This window comes from Homo sapiens, chromosome 12, assembly GCF_000001405.40.
Source record: "Homo sapiens chromosome 12, GRCh38.p14 Primary Assembly".
Classification (NCBI taxonomy): domain Eukaryota; kingdom Metazoa; phylum Chordata; class Mammalia; order Primates; family Hominidae; genus Homo; species Homo sapiens.
The window spans coordinates 132,803,693-132,822,596 of NC_000012.12; the positions used below are offsets into that span (position 1 = coordinate 132,803,693).

Consider the following 18,904-nt stretch of genomic DNA (forward strand, 5'->3'; position numbering starts at 1 on the left):
AATGTAGCCTCTGTGACGCCAGCTTGTCACCTTCCTCTGTGTCATCCAAGACCCAGTCTCACAGCCTCATAGGCGGACCGGCTCACATGGAGTCAGCCCTCACAGCGGCTGCACCAGGGACCCCTGGCTCAGGAGATCCCAAGACCTGAGAGATGAGCCCACCAAGCGGCCTCCCTGGGAGGACTCTGGACCCGGGTCACTCTACACCCCTCGGGCTTTGTCTTCAATCTTCCCACCCTGCTTCGCCCTCTCCTTCCCACTCCTGTTCACGCTTGCTCTGAGCAGGCCAACCACAGTCTTCTCCGTGTCTGCTGGGCACTGGAGTGTGAGCTCTGGGACTGGCCCGGGCGGGGACTGAGGGGGTGGAAGGCGTGCTGCCAAGCCACATGGAAGCCCGCCGCGGCTTCCGCAATCCACTGCCCTACTTGTACTCTCTGGGCGAGCCCTATAGGGAGGCAGCTGGACCGACGCACTGCATCCAGGGAGAAAAGGTTGCCAGACGGACAGTCAAGGAGCTGTTCTTGAATATTTTAAATGGAATCTGCAATTCTGTGGAATAAGTGGGCAGCTCTATACTCCCAAATAACACTGGACTTTTGAGGCAGGATCACCGCAGATACTCCAGGGTCCAAGGTCAATCTCCAAGACCTAATTCATTCCCCTGGATGTGCACACAAAAATGTACACAATTCCACAAGTTCAACTAAAACTTGTATTTCCTTTAGAAAAGCAGCCTCCTTATGTGTAAACTATAAACCAATGCAACCCTCACAGGCACAGTCACATGCCGACAGAGCTGTCAGCACCAGGGAGGAGGGCGTGGCGAGGACCAGTCAGGGAAGGAGGGCGTGGCGGGGACCAGTCGAGGAAGGAGGGAGCAGCGGGGACCAGTCGAGGAAGGAGGAGGGAGCAGCAAGGACCAGTCAGGGAAGGAGGAGGGCGTGGCGGGGGCCAGTCGAGGAAGGAGGAGGGAGCAGCAGGGACCAGTCAGGGAGGGGAGGGCGTGGCCAGGGCCAGCCTCACCTGTGTTGTCCTTGCTGAGCATGCTCCTCTGCATGTCCTCTACCTTGGCCATAAGCCTCTGGTACTGCTCCTCGGCCACCTGCAAGTCGTTGTTGGACGACGCCAGGCTGGCATTTTTTGCCTCCAGCATGTTCTGCAGGTCAGTCATGGCTCGCTCCAGGTCCCAGCACGACTGCTTCAGGGTGTCCACCTCCGAGCTCAGCGAATCCTGCCGCTGCTGGCTGCTGTGGCTGCACTCCACCTGCGCCTGCAGCTTCGTGCTGAGGGCGGCCAGCTGGGCCTGCAGCTCAGCCTTCTCTTTAAGTGCCTGAAAAGATCCCAACAACCACAATGATTTTAAGAAAACGAGTCACTTCCATCCAGTGTATTAACAGGAACACAACCAGCGAGTCAGTCAGGGCCTGACAGGGGACCCCGAGACCCCCAGGCGCTCTCCCAAGGCCTGACAGAGGACCCCAAGACCCCCAGGCGCTCTCCCAAGGCCTGACAGGGGACCCCAAGACCCCCAGGCGCTCTCCCAAGGCCTGACAGGGGACCCCAAGACCCCCAGGCGCTCTCCCAAGGCCTGACAGAGGACCCTGCCCCGAGACCCCCAGGCGCTCTCCCAAGGCCTGACAGGGGACCCCGAGACCCCCAGGCGCTCTCCCAAGGCCTGACAGGGGACCCCGAGACCCCCAGGCGCTCTCCCAAGGCCTGACAGGGGACCCCGAGACCCCCAGGCGCTCTCCCAAGGCCTGACAGGGGACCCCGAGACCCCCAGGCGCTCTCCCAAGGCCTGACAGGGGACCCCGAGACCCCCAGGCGCTCTCCCAAGGCCTGACAGGGGACCCCGAGACCCCCAGGCGCTCTCCCAAGGCCTGACAGGGGACCCCGAGACCCCCAGGCGCTCTCCCAAGGCCTGACAGAGGACCCCGAGACCCCCAGGCGCTCTCCCAGCACAGCCGTCACAGAAAAAGGCGACTTTCCAAACAGGCCCAGGACGCACAGGGAGCCTGCACTGGTTTTGGGCCCAACTGCACCTGCACAGGGCAGCGCTAGGGCAGGGCTGGGGAAGCACCCGTCTCCTGCGAGGACACTGGAAACGTGTTCAAAACACCAAACGTGTACACGGGTGCACATGTATGCGCACACACACAGAATGCCAGACGTGTAGAGGGACCCCTGAGAGATTAAAAGCGGATTCAGATCTGGGGGGAAATGGGCAAAAAACACAGGCAGGGAAAGGCGGCTGCCTAAGTGCGGCTCCAGCCAGAGCCACGGGACACAGCACAGTCCTGAGTGGCCACCGCAGTGCTGTGTGGTCCCAGGAGCAGCAGAGAATCGCCAGAGGAAATCGCCCCACCACCTGCCCCCACGCTGAGGCCTACAGGGGCAGGGATCCAGTTCACACATCACCAAGACAACAAACACCCAAAGCAATTGAGGAACTCCACAAACTCCAGGAGACCCTAGAGCAAGGGGCCAGCAACCACCACACCTGAAACAACCCTCACGATCTTGGTGTGGATGCAACCGAAGGACCAATCAGTGATCCTAAGAGGATAAGAAGACAAAGTGCAGTGACAGCAAGCCACCGTTCGAGAGAGTGGCTACACAGAGGAGGGGAAATGCATCCGACGGAGGGAGGCTCACGCTGTAACACTGGAGAAGTGACGACCGTACAACCAGAATTAGCCTCAAAACAGCCGAAATCACCTCTTCTGTAGACACAGCTTTAGGTGTCACAAACTGGTTGGTTTGTGTCCAAGGACCATGTTGTATGAGAAAACCATCTTCGACATGAGGCGTGCATTTAGCAAGGCAAGCTCCGGACACTGTGAGCAGCTCCAGCCCTGCTCTGCGGCCTCGCAGGCCACAGGAGGCTCCCTCAGCTGTGTCACCTCAGGGCCTGGGTGCATTCTCACCCTCCCACGCCAGAAGCGGACAGCTGAACCCCACTGAACAGATTTACTCAACTGCCGACAGAAGATAAATACCTAGCTCTTCACTGTGGATAAAGTGCATACGACAAAATGACAAAGGAGAGCTGAAATAAGGGATGGAAAATGATGTTTCTGGCACATGCTAACCAAGCCAGCGTGTGCAGCTTTCTCTGATACAGCACAATTAGTATCAGAAAAAGCAGAAATCACTACAAAGAAAAAAGGTTCACCATGCCAGAAAAAGCTGCAACCCACCAAGAGAATTTGACTCTTATGGACTGTGAGACACCTAACATCTAGCAAATATTCTGGTAGAGACGCAGGGAGAAACACGCCCATGCACGATGAGGCAGAAAACTCACAACTCTTTCTAAGGCTGACAAGTAGACAAAAAACGTAAAGATGCAGAACCCTCGGCTGCCACACATGCTGCGGCGGCTGATTCCCAACCACATCTGTGAAACCTCGTACCCAACAGAGGAGCCACACATGCTTTCCGACTTCGCCGCACGCTGAGATGTCAGTCGAACGTCCGTTACCTGACTCGCCTCCAGTGACAAGGCTTCCAGCTGTCCTTCGAGTCGCATTTTCTCTTTGAGCACCTGCAGCATCTCCTCCTGTGTTTCTGCTGCAGAGCTCTCCAAGGACACGCTGGGGACAAAGGCACGGGTCAGGCCTGTGCGAGCCATCCTCATTTTCTTTCACACTCCTCCACATTCTCCAAATTCCACACACCCCTGCTGCTCTCTCCCAATTTTTTAAAATTAAGTAAGAGATTTAAGTAGAGAGCTGAGGCTTGCATGATGCACGGATGAACATTCCTGCCAACAGTTGGCACCTCACGCAGTGGGAACTGTTACAGAAACATGAGACATGCAAGCGTCGTGCAGCTTAGTGACAAGTCTATGTAAACGGGAGACTGGATATTTTAGTAACACAGACCATTGCTGATCTAATTCTACTGATTAAAAAGCAGCAGACTTGTTATGAATTAAATGTTCATGTCAAGACTAAGGATAGAATCAGGAAGAAAAGCTGTGTATCACCTGTTCCAGTGCGGAGAGCCGTGGGCCCGGGAAGCAACATCTCAGGCCAGGCCCTCTGCCTGCCCTGCCCGTCTCTGCCCACCCCGCCCCCTCTGTTGGCCCCACCCACCTCTGCTACCGCCCCACCCACCTCTGCCCGCCCCACACCCCCCTCTGTTGGCCCCACCCACCTCCACCCACCCCGCCCACCTCTGCTGTCCCCACCACCTGCTGCAGATGCTGTCTCTCCGACTCCGCACCTCCCCGTTGACCTCCTGCCCCTGGTCTTGGTGCTCAGCGGCTGCGGCCTGGAGGACGTCCTTAATGGAGGGGAACTGGCCCAGGGTATCCGCAGGAATCTCCTGGCCGTTGACCATATAGGGGGTGTCCTGCGTGCCCACTGTCTTCGACAGAATGCCATAGGTCCCTCGGGTGGAGGCGCTGCTGTACGATGAGCTGTCGCTGTCATTTCCATCCACCTCAGACACGCTGTCTCCAGCCAGGGAGGTGTTCTCCAGACGGTCGTCAGTGTCGGGGGACAGGCTGATCTCAGACACAACGGACGCCGCACTGCTTCTGTTCTGCTTCAGGGAACCCTTGGTAGAATCGGGAGCCGGGACATTTCCCCCAGAATTCCCCGCATTTGAATCTTCAGTTCTGTAATCGGCCAGAGACCGGATTTTGCTTGATTTGGAAGTTTTTTTCTCCCTAGGATGTGCCGGAAGCCCCAGGCTGCCCACCTTAGGCCCCCGAGGGACACTGGTGCGCAGGAAGGAATATTCTTTTGTCATAGCCAGGGTACTGGCCCTTGGTAAGTTTTCTGGGTTTAACATGAGCTCAGGATCAAGCGTGCTAAAAAGTCTCGTTTTGGTTGCAGGTTGACTGGACTGAGAAGAAAACAAAAGTACAAAAATTACATTTAAAATCCACAAGCAGCATACTTAAAACTGCCATTCAGAAAGGTGGCACCGATCACTACTCCCTCCGCTGACAACCAGAGAGCACCACCTCCCCAGCCCCTCACCACACAGGGTGCGGCCAGGCCTCCGATCCGTGGTGGTCTCACTGCCGCAAGGCCCCACTCTAGTGACCAGCATGACCACCTCTGGTCTAAAGCACACTCTTCAGTGACTGTGACCTCAACACGTTTAAAACACATCCCAGCAAGTACCTCCTCATCAGACTTCTGTAGGGACCAGCCCCACAGGGTCAGTGGGTCTCCCCCTGTGTGCGGCGACGAGAGTGTAGAAATAAAGACACAAGACAAAGAGACAAGAGAAAAGGCAGCTGGGCCTGGGGGACCACTACCACCAATGCGCGGAGACCGGTAGTGGCCCTGAATGTCGGGCTGCGCTGTTATTTATTGGATACAAGGCAGAAGGGGCAGGGTAAAGAATGTGAGTCACCTCCAATGATAGGTAAGGTCACGTGGGTCACGTGTCCACTGGACGGGGGCCCTTCCCTGCCTGGCAACCAAGGCAGAGAGGGAGAGGAGACACAAAGACAGCTTACGCCATTATTTCTGCATATCAGGGACTATTAGTACTTTCACTAATTTACTACTGCTGTCTAGAAGGCAGAGCCAGGTATACAGGATGGAACATGAAGGCAGACTAGGAGTGTGACCACTGAAGCACAGCATCACAGGGAGATGGTTAGGCCTCCGGATAACTGCGGGCAGGCCTGACATCAGTCAGGCCCTCCACAAGAGGTGGAGGAGCAGAGTCTTCTCTAAACTCCCCCGGGGAAAGGGAGACACCAACCCCCACCCCCGCCCCCCCGCCCCCCGGTTCCCGGTCTGCTAAGTAGTGGGTGTTGTTCCTTGACACCTTTTGCTACCGCTGGACCACGATCCGCCTGGTAACGGGCGTCTTCCCGTCTTCCCAGACACTGGCTTCACCGCTAGACCAAGGAGCCCTCTGGTGGCCCTGTCTGGGCATAACAGAAGGCTTGCACTCTTGCCTTCTGGTCACACCTCACTATGTCCCCTCAGCTCCTATCTCTGTATGGCCTGGTTTTTCCTAGGCTATGATTATAGAGCGAGGATTATCATAATATTGGAATAAAAAGTAATTGCTACAAACTAATGATTAATGATATTCATATATAATCATATCTAAGATCTATATCTGGTGTAACTATTCTTGTTTTATATTTTATTATACTGGAACAGCCCGTGTCCTCTGTCTCTTGCCTCGGTGCCTGAGTGGCTTGCCACCCACAGACTTCCTCAACAGAACTTTCCTGGCTACTCTCCAGTTTATTTTATTTTTTTGGATAAACATAGAAATTTTCTTCAAGGCCGGGCGTGGTGGTTCACACCTGTAATCCCAGCACTTTGGGAGGCTGAGGCGGGCAGATCATTTGAGGTAAGGAGTTCAAGACCAGGCTGGCCAACATGTTGAAACCCCCGTCTCTACTAAAAATACAAAAAAATGAGCCAGGCATGGTGGCACACACCTGTAATCTCAGCTACTTGGGAGGATGAGGCAGGAGAATCACTTGAACCCAGGAGGTGGAGGTCGTAATAAGCCGAGATCATGCCACTGCACTCCAGCCTGGGTGACAGAGTGAGACCCTGTCTCCAAAACAAAAAAAAATTTCTTCAAAAAGGAAGAACATTCTGTTGAACTATAACCACCTTAAATCCATAATTTCCTCCGCCTGCCCACATCTGCTTGCACGTGTGGGCGGCAAGCCACCCAGGTGCCGAGGCAAGAGACTGAGGACGCGAACTGTTCCAGTATAATAAAGTATATAAAATAAGAATAGTTATACCAGATATAGATCTTAGATATGATTATATATGAATATCATTAATCATTAGTTTGCAGCAATTACTTTTTATTCCAATATTATAATAATCCTCACTCTACAATCATAACCTAGGAAAAACCAGGCCATACAGAGATAGGAGCTGAGGGGACACAGTGAGAAGTGACCAGAAGACAAGTGCGAGCCTTCTGTTATGCCCAGACAGGGCCACCAGAGGGCTCCTGGGTCTAGCGGTAACGCCAGCATCTGGGAAGACGCCCATTGCCAAGCAGACCATGGTCTAGCGGTAGCATCAGTGTCAAGGAAAAACACCCACTACTTAGCAGAGTTTAGAGAAGACTCTACTCCTCCACCTCTTGTGGAGGGCCTGACGTCAGTCAGGCCCGCGCACAGTTATCCGGAGGCCTAACCATCAACCTGTGATGCTGTGCTTCAGTGGTCACACTCCTAGTCTGCTTTCATGTTCCATCCTGTACACGTGGCTCTGCCTTTTAGATAACAGTAGCAAAATTAGTGAAAGTACTAAAAGTCTCTGATATGCAGAAATAACGGCATAAGCTGTCTCTCTCTCTCCCTCTCTCTCTACCTCAGCTGCCAGGCAGGGGAGGGCCCCCTGTCCAGTGGGCACGTGACCCACGTGACCTTACTTATCATTGGAGATGACTCACACTCTTTACCCTGCCCCTTTTGCTTTGTATCCAATAAATAACAGCACAGCCTGACATTCGGGGCCACTACCTGTCTCCACGTCTTGGTGGTAGTGGTCCCCCCGGCCCAGCTGTCTTTTATCTCTTTGTCTTGTGTCTTTATTTCTACACTCTCTCGTCTCCGCACACAGGGAGAAAACCCACTGACCCTGTGGGGCTGGACCCTACATGCACGCCCCTCAACAGAGCAGCTACCCCACCCCCATCTAGAACCCAGGCCCTCTGCGGCCATTCTAACTTATTTCTCAGTTTATCCTTTTTGTTGTTATAAATGTTATACTTCCCACTAATCTTACAACTGCTAGGATAACTCTTCATTTTTCATACTTGCATTTTTATTTTTTTTTTGAGATGGACCCAGGCTGGAGTGCAGTGGTGCAATCTTGGCTCACTGCAACCTCTGCCGCCTGGGTTCAAGCGATTCTCCTGTCTCAGCCTCCTGAGTAGCTAGGATTACAGGGGTGTGCCATCACATCCGGCTAATTTTTTGTATTTTTAGTAGAGACGGGGTTTCTCCACGTTGGCCAGGCTGGTCTCAAACTCCTGACCTCAAGCAATCCGCCCGCCCCACCCTCCCATAGTGCTGGGATTATAGGTGTGAGCCACTGCACCCAGCCAGATTAAAGTATTTAAAAACATAACCTTAAAGGTATAAGAAGAACACGCTGGTCATTTTATTGATCTTCTTCTACTGAAGAGATCCTTTTGAAACATGACATAGGCTGGGCGCGATGGTGGGTGCCTGTAGTCCCAGCTACTCAGGAGGCTGAGGCAGAGAATCACTGGAACCTGGGAGGTGGAGGTTGCAGTGAACCGAGATCGCTCCAGCCTGGGCAACAGAGTGAGACTCCGTCTCTCAAAAAAAAAAAAAAAAAAAAACATTAAAAAAAAAAAGTAGCCGGGCATGGTGGCACGTGCTTTTAATCCCAGTTACTCGGGAGGCTGAGGCTGGAGAATTGCTTGAACTAGGGAGACGGAGGTTGCAGTGGGCCAAGACTGCACCACTACACACCTGCTTGGGTGACAAAGCGAGATTCTGTCTCAAAATACACACACACACACACACACATATATATATATATATATTTTTTTTAACTGCTCATTGACAATACGCCAGATCACCTAAGAGCTCTGATGGGAGATGTACAAGGAGGTGAATGTCGCTTTCCTGCCTGCAGACACAACATCCCTTCTGCAGCCCATGGATCAAGGACTAGTTTTGACTTTCAAGTCTTATTACTTAAGAAATACCTTCTGTAAGGGTACAACTGCCATAGTCATAGTGATTCCTCTCATGGATCTGGGCAAAGTAAACTGAAAACCTTCTGGAAAGGATTCACCATTCTAGATGCCATTAAAAACATTCATGATTCATGGGTGGAGGGGTCAAAATATCAACATTAACAGGAGTGTGGAAGAAGCTGATTTCTACCCTCACGGACAGCGTTGAGGGATTCAGTGCTTCCGTGGAGAACTTGACTGCAGATGTGGTGGAAACAGCAAGGGCACTAGAACTAGAAGTGGAGCCTGAAGATGTGACTGAATTGCTGCAATCTCAGGATAAAACCTGAATGGGTAAAATGCCATCAAATAGCACCGCATGTTACAGAGACATCTTTTCTAAGATATGGTAAACTTTAGTGCGGTTTTAAGAAATTACCACAGCCCAACCTTCAGCAACCACCACCCTGATGAGTCAGCAGCCATCAAACTTGAGGCAAGATGCTCCAACAGCAAAGAGATTACGACTTGCTGAAGGCTCAGATGATCGTTAGCATTTTTTAGTAATAAAGCATTTTCAAATTAATGTGGGTACATCAGTTTTATTTAGACACAGTGCTACTGCACACTTAGTAAACTACAGTAGCGTATACACATAACTTCTTTATGCACTAGGAAACCAAAAACATTGTAGGACTTGCTTTATTGCAATGTTTACATTTTTGTGGTGGTCCAGAACTGAACCCACAGTACCTCTGAGGTCACCCGTGTTTGCTTTCTTTGCTTTTCAATTGGCAGATTTAGAAATAAAATGTGCTTGTTGCCCCTGAGCCCATGGCAGCTCAGAGAAGCCAATGGCAGGTCCCCGGGTTATGTGGGACCAACAGTTGTCTCTGGCACAGGAAGCTTTCCATGAGCTTGTTCGGGAGAGGGAGACTCACCCTCTCCTGCTGGCGCTTCACCCTGTACTGTTTGAGCTGCTCTTCCAGCCACTTCCGAGCCTGAAGTCGGACCTGCTCCTCCTTCTCCAGGGGCAGGGGAGAATCTGTAGAGCCTGCAGTGGGAAAAGGGCAATTTGGAAACTCATAAAATACCAGGATGCAGAACAATCAGGCACAAGAACTTGGTCATTTTGTACTTAATTACCCATATACTTTACACCTAAACAATGCACAGCCATCTTGTTTGGAAGGACAATTTCTAGATCAAGAGAGAACTGTGAGCCCCGGACACGGACCACAGGCGGGATCTACCTCACAGGAGACACAGTGGCCAGGCACTGGGTCTGTGATCCCATGATGAGTACACCCCACCTGGGGCATTCCCCTGGTAAAACAGGAAATGGCAGCAAGTGCCTTTTTTTTTTTTTTTTTTTTTGAGATGGAGTCTCACTCTGTCGCCCAGAATGGAGTGCAGTGGCATGATCTCGGCTCACAGCAACCTCCGCCTCCCAGGTTCACACCATTCTCCTGCCTCAGCCTCCCAAGTAGCTGGGAATACAGGCGCCCGCCACCACGCCTGGCTAATTTTTTGTATTTTTAGTAGAGACGGGGTTTCACCATGTTAGTCAGGATGGTCTCGATCTCCTGACCTCATGATCCACCCGCCTCGGCCTCCCAAAGTGCTGGGATTACAGGCGTGAGCCACCGCGCCCGGCCTTTTTTTTTTTTTTTTTTGAGACGGAGTTTCATTCTTGTTGCCCAGGCTGGAGTGCAATGGTGCGATCTCGGCTCACCACAACCTCTGCCTCCTGGGTTCAAGCGATTCTCCTGCCACAGCCTCCTGAGTAGGTGGGATTACAGGCATGCAACACGACCCCTGACGACTTTGGTATTTTTAGTAGAGACAGGGTTTCTCCATGTTGGTCAGGCTGGTCTCGAACTCCCGACCTGAGGTGATCCGCCCACCTCGGCCTCTCAAAGTGCTGAGATTATGGGCCTGAGCCACCGTGCCCGGCAGCAAGTGCCTTTTAACAACAGAAAGAACTGGGTTCAAAGCTGGAGCCGTGCCGAGCACTCTGAGGCAGGCTCAGCTCTCACCACGCTGCAACTTGCCCTGGCTTCACAGCAGGTTCTCGTGACCCCGCTGGGAGAACCTGAAACGCCGGCACCGTGGAGTTACAGGCAGTACCCAGCCACAGGAGCTCAGCCGTCGTGGGGTCACGAGACCCCGAGTGCATTTCTTTGCTCAGTTACATTTGGGGTCCGCTCTGACGCACAGCTCATCTCAGCTCCTGCAGTAACAAGTCACATTACGATAAGGCTCTGGCGGTACTCAAATGGCTGAAGCCTGGCGCCAGGCCTCACTGCAGGGTAAATGCTGCACAGGCTCCGCCCTCCAGGGCTGGGGGCGGGTTACCTCAGTTTCCAGACAGACAAGACTCCAATCCGAGGTCATGCTCCGGGACAGGAGGGGAAAATTTACAACTTTTTAGCCAAAACCAGAATTTAAAATATCTAAAACCCAGACCTTTCATTGTAGGTGATGAAAGAGTTGCATGGTACGTGCCAACGTGTTATAGTTACAAACCCAGGGCTCCACTTCCCAGGACTGAGTGTGTGGCCTCATCCTTCCTAAGCCATCAGCAGACACCGCCCGACGGCCTGGGTGCCGACCAGAGTAGGAAAGCATAATCACACAGCAACGCTTTACACATGACACCCTCCTTACAGGTAGATGCTGAGGAGATGAGCAGCTACTGTCCTAAATAATCCCTAACATCTGAGCAGTCACCAAGAATTTCACTGTAAATGTACCATTATTAGTTTATACATTTTATCACTGAAAAGATCTCTAGTCCTTTTCACATGGCAAAGTGGTCCAGATGGCTAGACCGTAAGTGGCAAATTCAGGCCTATGGCCACCAGGCAGATATTTATATAAGTCGGCAAAATAAGCAGGGTTTCAACCAAACACTGACGCAGGAGATAGGCTCAGGGCCAGGCGCCAGCAGGAACAGGTGACCAGGGGCATCCCGCAAAGGTGTGCACGTAGACCCAGCGCTGCTGCCCCAGACACCTGGGCCAGAGCTCACACATCTGTAACTTCAGGACCCCAAAGTAAATAAACTAAGTTGAAAAAAATCAGGAATCTAGACTTTTTTACATGCTACTTCTCAACTTAAATGCTGGCAGTGAGTTTTCAGAATTGTTTCAAATAAACACATGTGAAATGCAGTCTGATTTCAGTAATTTAGGGTTTTTTGTTGTTGTTATTTAGTTTTAAGAAATTTTTAAAAATATACTGCAGGCCAGGTACAGTGGCTCACGCCTATAATCCCAGTATTTTGGGAGGCCAAGGTATGACGATCACTTGAGCCCAGGAGTTCAAGACCAGCCTGGGAAACATGGTGAGACCCCGTTTCTACACACACAAAAAATTAAAATTAGCCAGGTGTGGTGACACGCACCTGTGGTCCAAGCTACTTGACAGCAGAGGCAGGAAGATCCCTTGAACCTGGGAGGCAGAGGCTGCAGTGAGCTCTGACTCTGCCACTGGCCTCCAGCCTGGGCGACAGAGCAAGATCCTGACTCTAATTAAAAAACAAAACAGGCTGGGCCTGGTGGCTCACGCCTGTAATCCCAACACTTTGGGAGGCCAAGGCAGGCAGACCATGAGGTCAGGAGATCAATACCATCTTGACTAACACGGTGAAACCCCATCTTTGCTAAAAATACAAAAAATTAGCCGGGCCTGGTGGCGGGTGCATGTAGTCCCAGCTACTCGGGAGGCCGAGGCAGGTGAATGGCATGAACCCAGGAGGCGGAGATTGCAGTGAGCCGAGACAGCGCCACTGCAGTCCGGCCTGGGCGAAAGAGCGAGACTCTGTCTCAGAAAAAAAAAGCAAACCAAAAAAAACCAAAACAACAGACTGGATGCCCACCGTCTGCTTACCAAGCACCTGGGTGACACAGGACATGCAGGCTGGCCTTTAACGCAAAAGCGTCAGCACTGCTGCCAGTCAGACCACAGCAGAACCTTGACTCCACCTGCATCTTCACTCTCTAACTTGAAGCTCTCCTTGCTAAACTCACAGCCCCACGTGGGACTCAGATGGCACACGGCAGGCACAGGCACACAACAGCTCAGACAGTGAGTGCGCAGGGCACCTGCTCCCAAGGGGCTGAGCGACGCGGACGTGGAGGGTGGGAAAAGCGGGGTAACGGATGCTTACACAGTTGCGTTTCTTGCATAGGAAGACTGAGTCTGAGAGACTGCAAAGCTTCTTTTCTAACACTGCCCTCAGCACTAGTTCCCTGAGACTTCCTTAGGTTGTCATGGAAACCAGCCACACCTGGAGAGGCATCAGGGCCCACTGGGCTTGTGGTGGGATCGAGAGACGACGGAGGGTCTGGGAAGGGTGGCGTTGGCCCGTTCTGACAGAGGCCTCCCTGGCCAGGTCCATCCGGGCTTTCCCCTTCCGTGGATGCTCTGTTTACCTCGGCACCTGGAAAGACAGAGCACGCTGGACCACCATGGCTTTAACAACAAGGTGACGTCGCTTTTCAGACATGCAGCTGGAGTAGGAGAGAAGAGGATCCAGACTCATGAGCACGGCACTTTCTCATCCCACAAAGGCTTCACTCTGAGAGGAGCAGCCCATGGGCCCCGTCCCACAGGCGGGGTGGCCAGGATAAGGCCCACAGCCCCTCTGGTGTCCACGTCCTTCCTGTAAGGTGAACCTGCCCTCCACACCTCCACACTCTAACGTGAACCCGCCCTCCACACCTCTACGCTCTAACGTGAACTCACCCTCCACACCTCCACACTCTAATGTGAACCCGCCCTCCACTCCTCCACGCTCTAAGGTGAACCCGCCCTCCACACCTCCACGCTCTAAGGTGAACCCGCCCTCCACACCTCCACGCTCTAAGGTGAACCCCCCCTCCACACCTCCACACTCTAACGTGAACCCGCCCTCCACTCCTCCACGCTCTAAGGTGAACCCGCCCTCCACACCTCCACGCTCTAAGGTGAACCCGCCCTCCACACCTCCACACTCTAAGGTGAACCCGCCCTCCACACCTCCACACTCTAACGTGAACCCGCCCTCCACTCCTCCACGCTCTAAGGTGAACCCGCCCTCCACACCTCCACGCTCTAAGGTGAACCCGCCCTCCACTCCTCCACGCTCTAAGGTGAACCCGCACTCCACACCTCCACGCTCTAAGGTGAACCCACCCTCCACACCTCCACACTCTAACGTGAACCCGCCCTCCACTCCTCCACGCTCTAAGGTGAACTCACCCTCCACACCTCCACGCTCTAAGGTGAACCCCCCCCCCACACCTCCACACTCTAAGGTGAACTCACCCTCCACTCCTCCACGCTCTAAGGTGAACCCGCCCTCCACACCTCCACGCTCTAAGGTGAACCCACCCTCCACACCTCCACGCTCTAAGGTGAACCCGCCCTCCACTCCTCCACGCTCTAAGGTGAACCCGCACTCCACACCTCCACACTCTAACGTGAACCCGCCCTCCACTCCTCCACGCTCTAAGGTGAACTCACCCTCCACACCTCCACGCTCTAAGGTGAACCCCCCCCCCACACCTCCACACTCTAAGGTGAACTCACCCTCCACTCCTCCACGCTCTAAGGTGAACCCCCCCCCACACCTCCACACTCTAAGGTGAACTCACCCTCCACTCCTCCACGCTCTAAGGTGAACCCACCCTCCACACCTGTACGCTCTAACGTGAACCCGCCCTCCACACCTCCACGCTCTAAGGTGAACCCCCCCTCCACTCCTCCATGCTCTAAGGTGAACCCACCCTCCACTCCTCCATGCTCTAAGGTGAACTCGCCCTCCACACCTCTACACTATAAGGTGAACTCACCCTCCACACCTCCACACTCTTGGCTGTAGAATTTATGTAGTAACGACAGTAACATTTCCTCTTCTCTTTTTTGAGACGGAGTCTCATTCTGCTGCCCAGGCTGGAGTTCAGTCACACAAGCTCAGCTCACTGCAAGCTCCACTCACCAGATTCAAGCGATTCTCCTGCTTCAGCCTCCCCAGTAGCTGGGATTACAGGTGCCCACCACCACACCTGGCTAATTTTTGGTCTTTTTAGTAGAGATGGGGTTTCACCATGTTGGCCAGTCTGGTCTCAAACTCCTCCCCATTCACCAGCCTCGGCCTCCCACAGTGCTGGGATTACAGGCGTGAGCCACCGCACCCAGCCAATGTTTCCTTTCCATTTAAGTAAAACCAATAAGAAATCTTATGAAAGTCGCCAGTTTAAAACAAGCGAAAACCACAAACACTTAAAACACAGCTGACAATCTTTCTAGCAGGCACTGGTAACAGCAGTGTTAATCAGAGTCACAGCCTCACATTTACAAAGGCTGATTTTGGAGTCATTTCAAAGCCTCAGCTTATCCTCCAAGGCGAGGACCCTAAGGCGAAGAGGTGGATGATGTCATCACACCACCCGTGAAGCAGAGACAGCCCAGAACCGCGCTTCTGCTTGATGACAGCCTGCTGGGTAAAGGCCTGGGTTGGACCAGTGACAATTCTATACCCACGTGTTACCTCAGTTCACCCACTAAAATGATTATATACAAATTACCCACAACACAAACTAAAACATATTTCCTCATCAAATGGAACAAAGAAAGATTTCTTTCAATGAAGTGATTTTCAGTCTTTTCCCTGCCCCCTAACTGCTGACTGGTGGGTGGGCCAGTTCACAGTCAAAGAACCAAGACATGTGAGGGGGGAGGGAGGGTCCTCAGGGGGTTCTGGTCCTGGTTCCGGTGGCTCTGGAGGCCCGGCAACACCTCCGTGTCTCACAGGGGTCAGCATTCCTCGGATCCCACGTGCATGCAGGACAGCAAATTTGCTTTTTGCTCAAGCAAATTAAAAATGAGTTTCTTAGCCGGGCGCGGTGGCTCACGCCTGTAATCCCAGCACTTTGGGAAGCTGAGGCAGGTGGATCACGAGGTCAGGAGATCGAGACTATCCTGGCTAACACGGCGAAACCCCGTCTCTACTAAAAATACAAAGACTTAGCTGGGCGTGGTGGCGGGCGCCTATAGTCCCAGCTACTTGGGAGGCTGAGGCAGAAGAATGGCGTGAACCCTCGAAGTGGAGCTTGCAGTAAGCTGAGGTCGTGCCACTGCACTCCAGTCTGGGCAACAGAGCGAGACTCCGTCTCAAAAAAAGAAAAGGTTTCTTTCACTTGCAAATGTGAGTTCAAACTAACAGCAGATACTTACTGTCATGCCTCCCGAAAGAAAAACCAGAATAAAAGCAGGGGTGCCAGACAGGAAGCCAGACCACGGGCACCCGACCAACGCACTGAGACGCCTTTCATGCAAAGGACCCGTGAGCTCCACTGCTGGGAGAGGGGGAACCTTGCATTTCAGATAAAAGTTACTGGGTTAGGCCGGGCGCAGTGGCTCACACCTGTAATCCCAGCACTTTGGGAGGCCGAGGTGGAAGGATAACTCAAGGCCAGGAATTCAAGACCAGCCCGGGCAACAGCAAGACTGTTTATACAAAAAGTTTTTAAAATGAGCCAGGCAACAGGGCGCGGTGGCTCACGCCTGCAATCCCAGCACTTTGGGAGGCCAAGGTGGGGGGATCACCAGAGATTGGGAGTTCAAAACCAGCCTGATCAACATGGAAACTCCATCTCTACTAAAAATACAAAATTAGCTGGGCGTGGTGGCACATGCCTGTAATCCCAGCTACTCAGGAGGCTGAGGCAGAAGATCGCTTGAACCCGGGAGGCGGAGGTTGCCATGAGCCGAGATCGCACCATTGCACTACAGCCTGGACAACAACAGCAAAACTCCGTCTCAAAAAAAAAAAAATCAGCTAGGCGTGCTGACACGCATCGATAGTCACCGCTACCCCAGAGACCAAGGCAGGAGGATCACTTAAGCCCAGGAGTTCATGGCTGCCGTGAGCTATGATTACACCACTGCACTTCAGCCTGCTCAATGGAGCAACACCCTGACTCTAAAAACAGTAATAAAATGTTTAAAATAGAAAAAGGGGCGGAGGCTGAGATTAACCCAGCGTCTTGCTCGAGGGCACATTGCTCCTGAGCAGCAGATCTAAGAGCAGGTTCCACGGCCGCGGGTCTCAGAACTCTTGATCTTGGGCCTCTAAGTTGTTATCTGCCTCACCTGATGCTTATGTAGCAAGGACCAGCAAAGCCATCCTAAGCGCCTGAGTATCATTTTACAGGAATTAGACTGTGACTTCTGCTAGTAAATTAGCACATCTGTAGTCTACAGTTTTAAAGCACTGAACCTCCTGGCCAGGAAGAGGCATGAGAACTGAGTGAATAACTAAGTCACCCTTTCCCTCTGACACGTGAATAACCCAGGGGGCTAACATAACACTGTGCTCCGTAATCCTTAGATCTCTACGGGACGACTTCTGAATTCTAGCTATTACAAATTCAGCAACTGACCAATCAAAAAGGCAGAATTCGGCCAGGCACAGTGGCTCACTCCTGTAATCCCAGCACTTTTTGGGGCTGAGGTGGGTGGATCATTTGAGATCAGGAGTTCGAGACCAGCCTGGCCAACATGGTGAAACCCCGTCTCTACTAAAAATACAAAAAATAGCTGGGTGTGGTGGCAGGTGCCTGTAGTCCCAGCTACTCGGGAGGCTGAAGCAGGAGAATCGCTTGAACCCAGGAGGCAGAGGTTGCAGTGAGCTGAGATGGTGCCACTGCACTCCAGCCTGGGCGACAGAACAGGACACCGTCTCAAAAAAAAAAAAAAAAAAAAAAAATGGCTGGGCGCAGTGGCTCACGCCTGTAATCTCAGCACTTTGGGATGCCAAGGTGGGCGGATCACCTGAGGTTGGGAGTTCGTGGCCAGCCTGACCAACATGGAGAAACCTCATCTCTACTAAAAATACAAAAAATAGCTGGGCGTGGTAGCGCATGCCTGTAATCCCAGCTACTCGGGAGGCTGAGGCAGAAGAATTGCTTGAACCCGGGAAGTGGAGGTTGCAGTGAAACGAGATCTCGCCATTGCACTCCAGCCCGGGCACCCAGAGCAAAACTCCACGTCGAAAAAAAAAAAAGGTAGAATTTTAGGCAGGGAACATGATAAAGACCCATAGATCCCTTCAGGGAAACACTGCTGCTGCCCCACACGTTTAATGGAGTTCTGTTTAGCAGGAATGTGCCTGATCTAAAGGTGGCATCATTCAGTTACTAAAACATACTTTGGGCCGGGCACAGTGGCTCACACCTGTAATCCCAGCACTTTGAGGCTGAGGCTGAGGCGGGCGGATCACGAAGTCAGGAGATCGAGACCATCTTGGCTAACACGGTGAAACCCCGTCTCTACTAAAAATACAAAAAATTAGCCGGGCGCGGTGGCGGGCGCCTGTAATCCCAGCTACTCAGGAGGCTGGGGCAAGAGAATGGCATGAACCCGGGAGGCGGAGCTTGCAGCGAGCCGAGATCACGCCACTGCAGTCCAGCCTGGGCGAAAGAGCGAGACTCCGTCTCAAAAAAAAAAAAAAAAAAAAACAACTTTGAATTAAGTGAAAAGCTCACAGTGGTCTCAACGCCACATCCTCCCTCAACACCACGTCCTCCCTCAACACCAGGTCCTCCTGTGACCAGCACACAGAGGAACCTCACGACTTACACTGGACTTTGTCCTGCTGGTCAGGTGGCACCAGTGGGCCCGGGGGCTTCAGTGGGGCCTCGGGGAGAGACGAGGGGCCACTGTGGGATCTGTCCTCCTGGAGGCCATCTTGCTCGGCCGACGCGCCGTCCATGGTCAGGACGACACCAGCTGAGCTGACGCTGAGGGGCTACAAGTGAACCTTGGACAAGCTTGGCTTCTGCCATCAGCAACAGCCAAGAGCTCCTGGGAGGGGCCCTACTGTGTCTCCCATTTTCAGGAGAAGATCTGATGACTCACAAATGACTTGATGTCAAACCAGCTAATATCATGATACCTGACAGGAGAGAGAGACAAAATGTATTATGAAACTTGTCAGATTTCAAGTATCAATTACAAAATTAGCATTTGGTTCCCAATTTGCATACGTACAAGAAACAAATACAAACTTTTTCATTCAGCAAATAATCCTGGAGCACCCACAACATCCTAGGTTTTGAGGCTAAGATGCTGACCCAGCCACACTGGGCCCTTTCCTGAAGGAGCTTAATGTCTGTATCGGTGCCAACTAAAGAACATTCTGCTGGGACAGCGCAGCTCTGAATCTGTGGAGTAGGTGTCA

General features: G+C 52.5%; 1 protein-coding gene across 17 annotated transcripts in view, besides 1 other annotated feature; it reads right to left on the reverse strand.

Annotated features, from left to right (window-relative positions):
• Positions 1-18,904, reverse strand: part of GOLGA3 (golgin A3) — a 60,168-nt gene that overhangs the window by 34,779 nt on the left and 6,485 nt on the right. For 12 of the 17 annotated variants that reach the window (NM_001389684.1, XM_047428706.1, NM_001389683.1 and 9 more), the window contains 6 exons: positions 18,304-18,619; positions 12,848-13,120; positions 9,615-9,727; positions 4,199-4,857; positions 3,485-3,596; positions 1,024-1,330 (listed from right to left, as the gene is read on the reverse strand). In NM_001389684.1, coding sequence (NP_001376613.1) covers positions 1,024-1,330; positions 3,485-3,596; positions 4,199-4,857; positions 9,615-9,727; positions 12,848-13,120; positions 18,304-18,436 — 1,597 coding nt within the window. In that variant the 5' untranslated portion in view covers positions 18,437-18,619. Of the gene's footprint in view, positions 1-1,023; positions 1,331-3,484; positions 3,597-4,198; positions 4,858-8,094; positions 8,191-9,614; positions 9,728-12,847; positions 13,121-18,303; positions 18,620-18,904 lie in introns of those variants that run through there. The other 5 variants (NM_001389686.1, NM_001389687.1, NM_001389688.1 and 2 more) reach the window with 3 other exon arrangements.
• Positions 16,772-16,821: an enhancer, noted in NCBI's record as "active region_7391". NCBI's record gives its function as "activates an Ori minimal core promoter by ATAC-STARR-seq in GM12878 lymphoblastoid cells {active_cell/tissue: GM12878}" and the evidence as "EXISTENCE:reporter gene assay evidence [ECO:0000049][PMID:35858748]".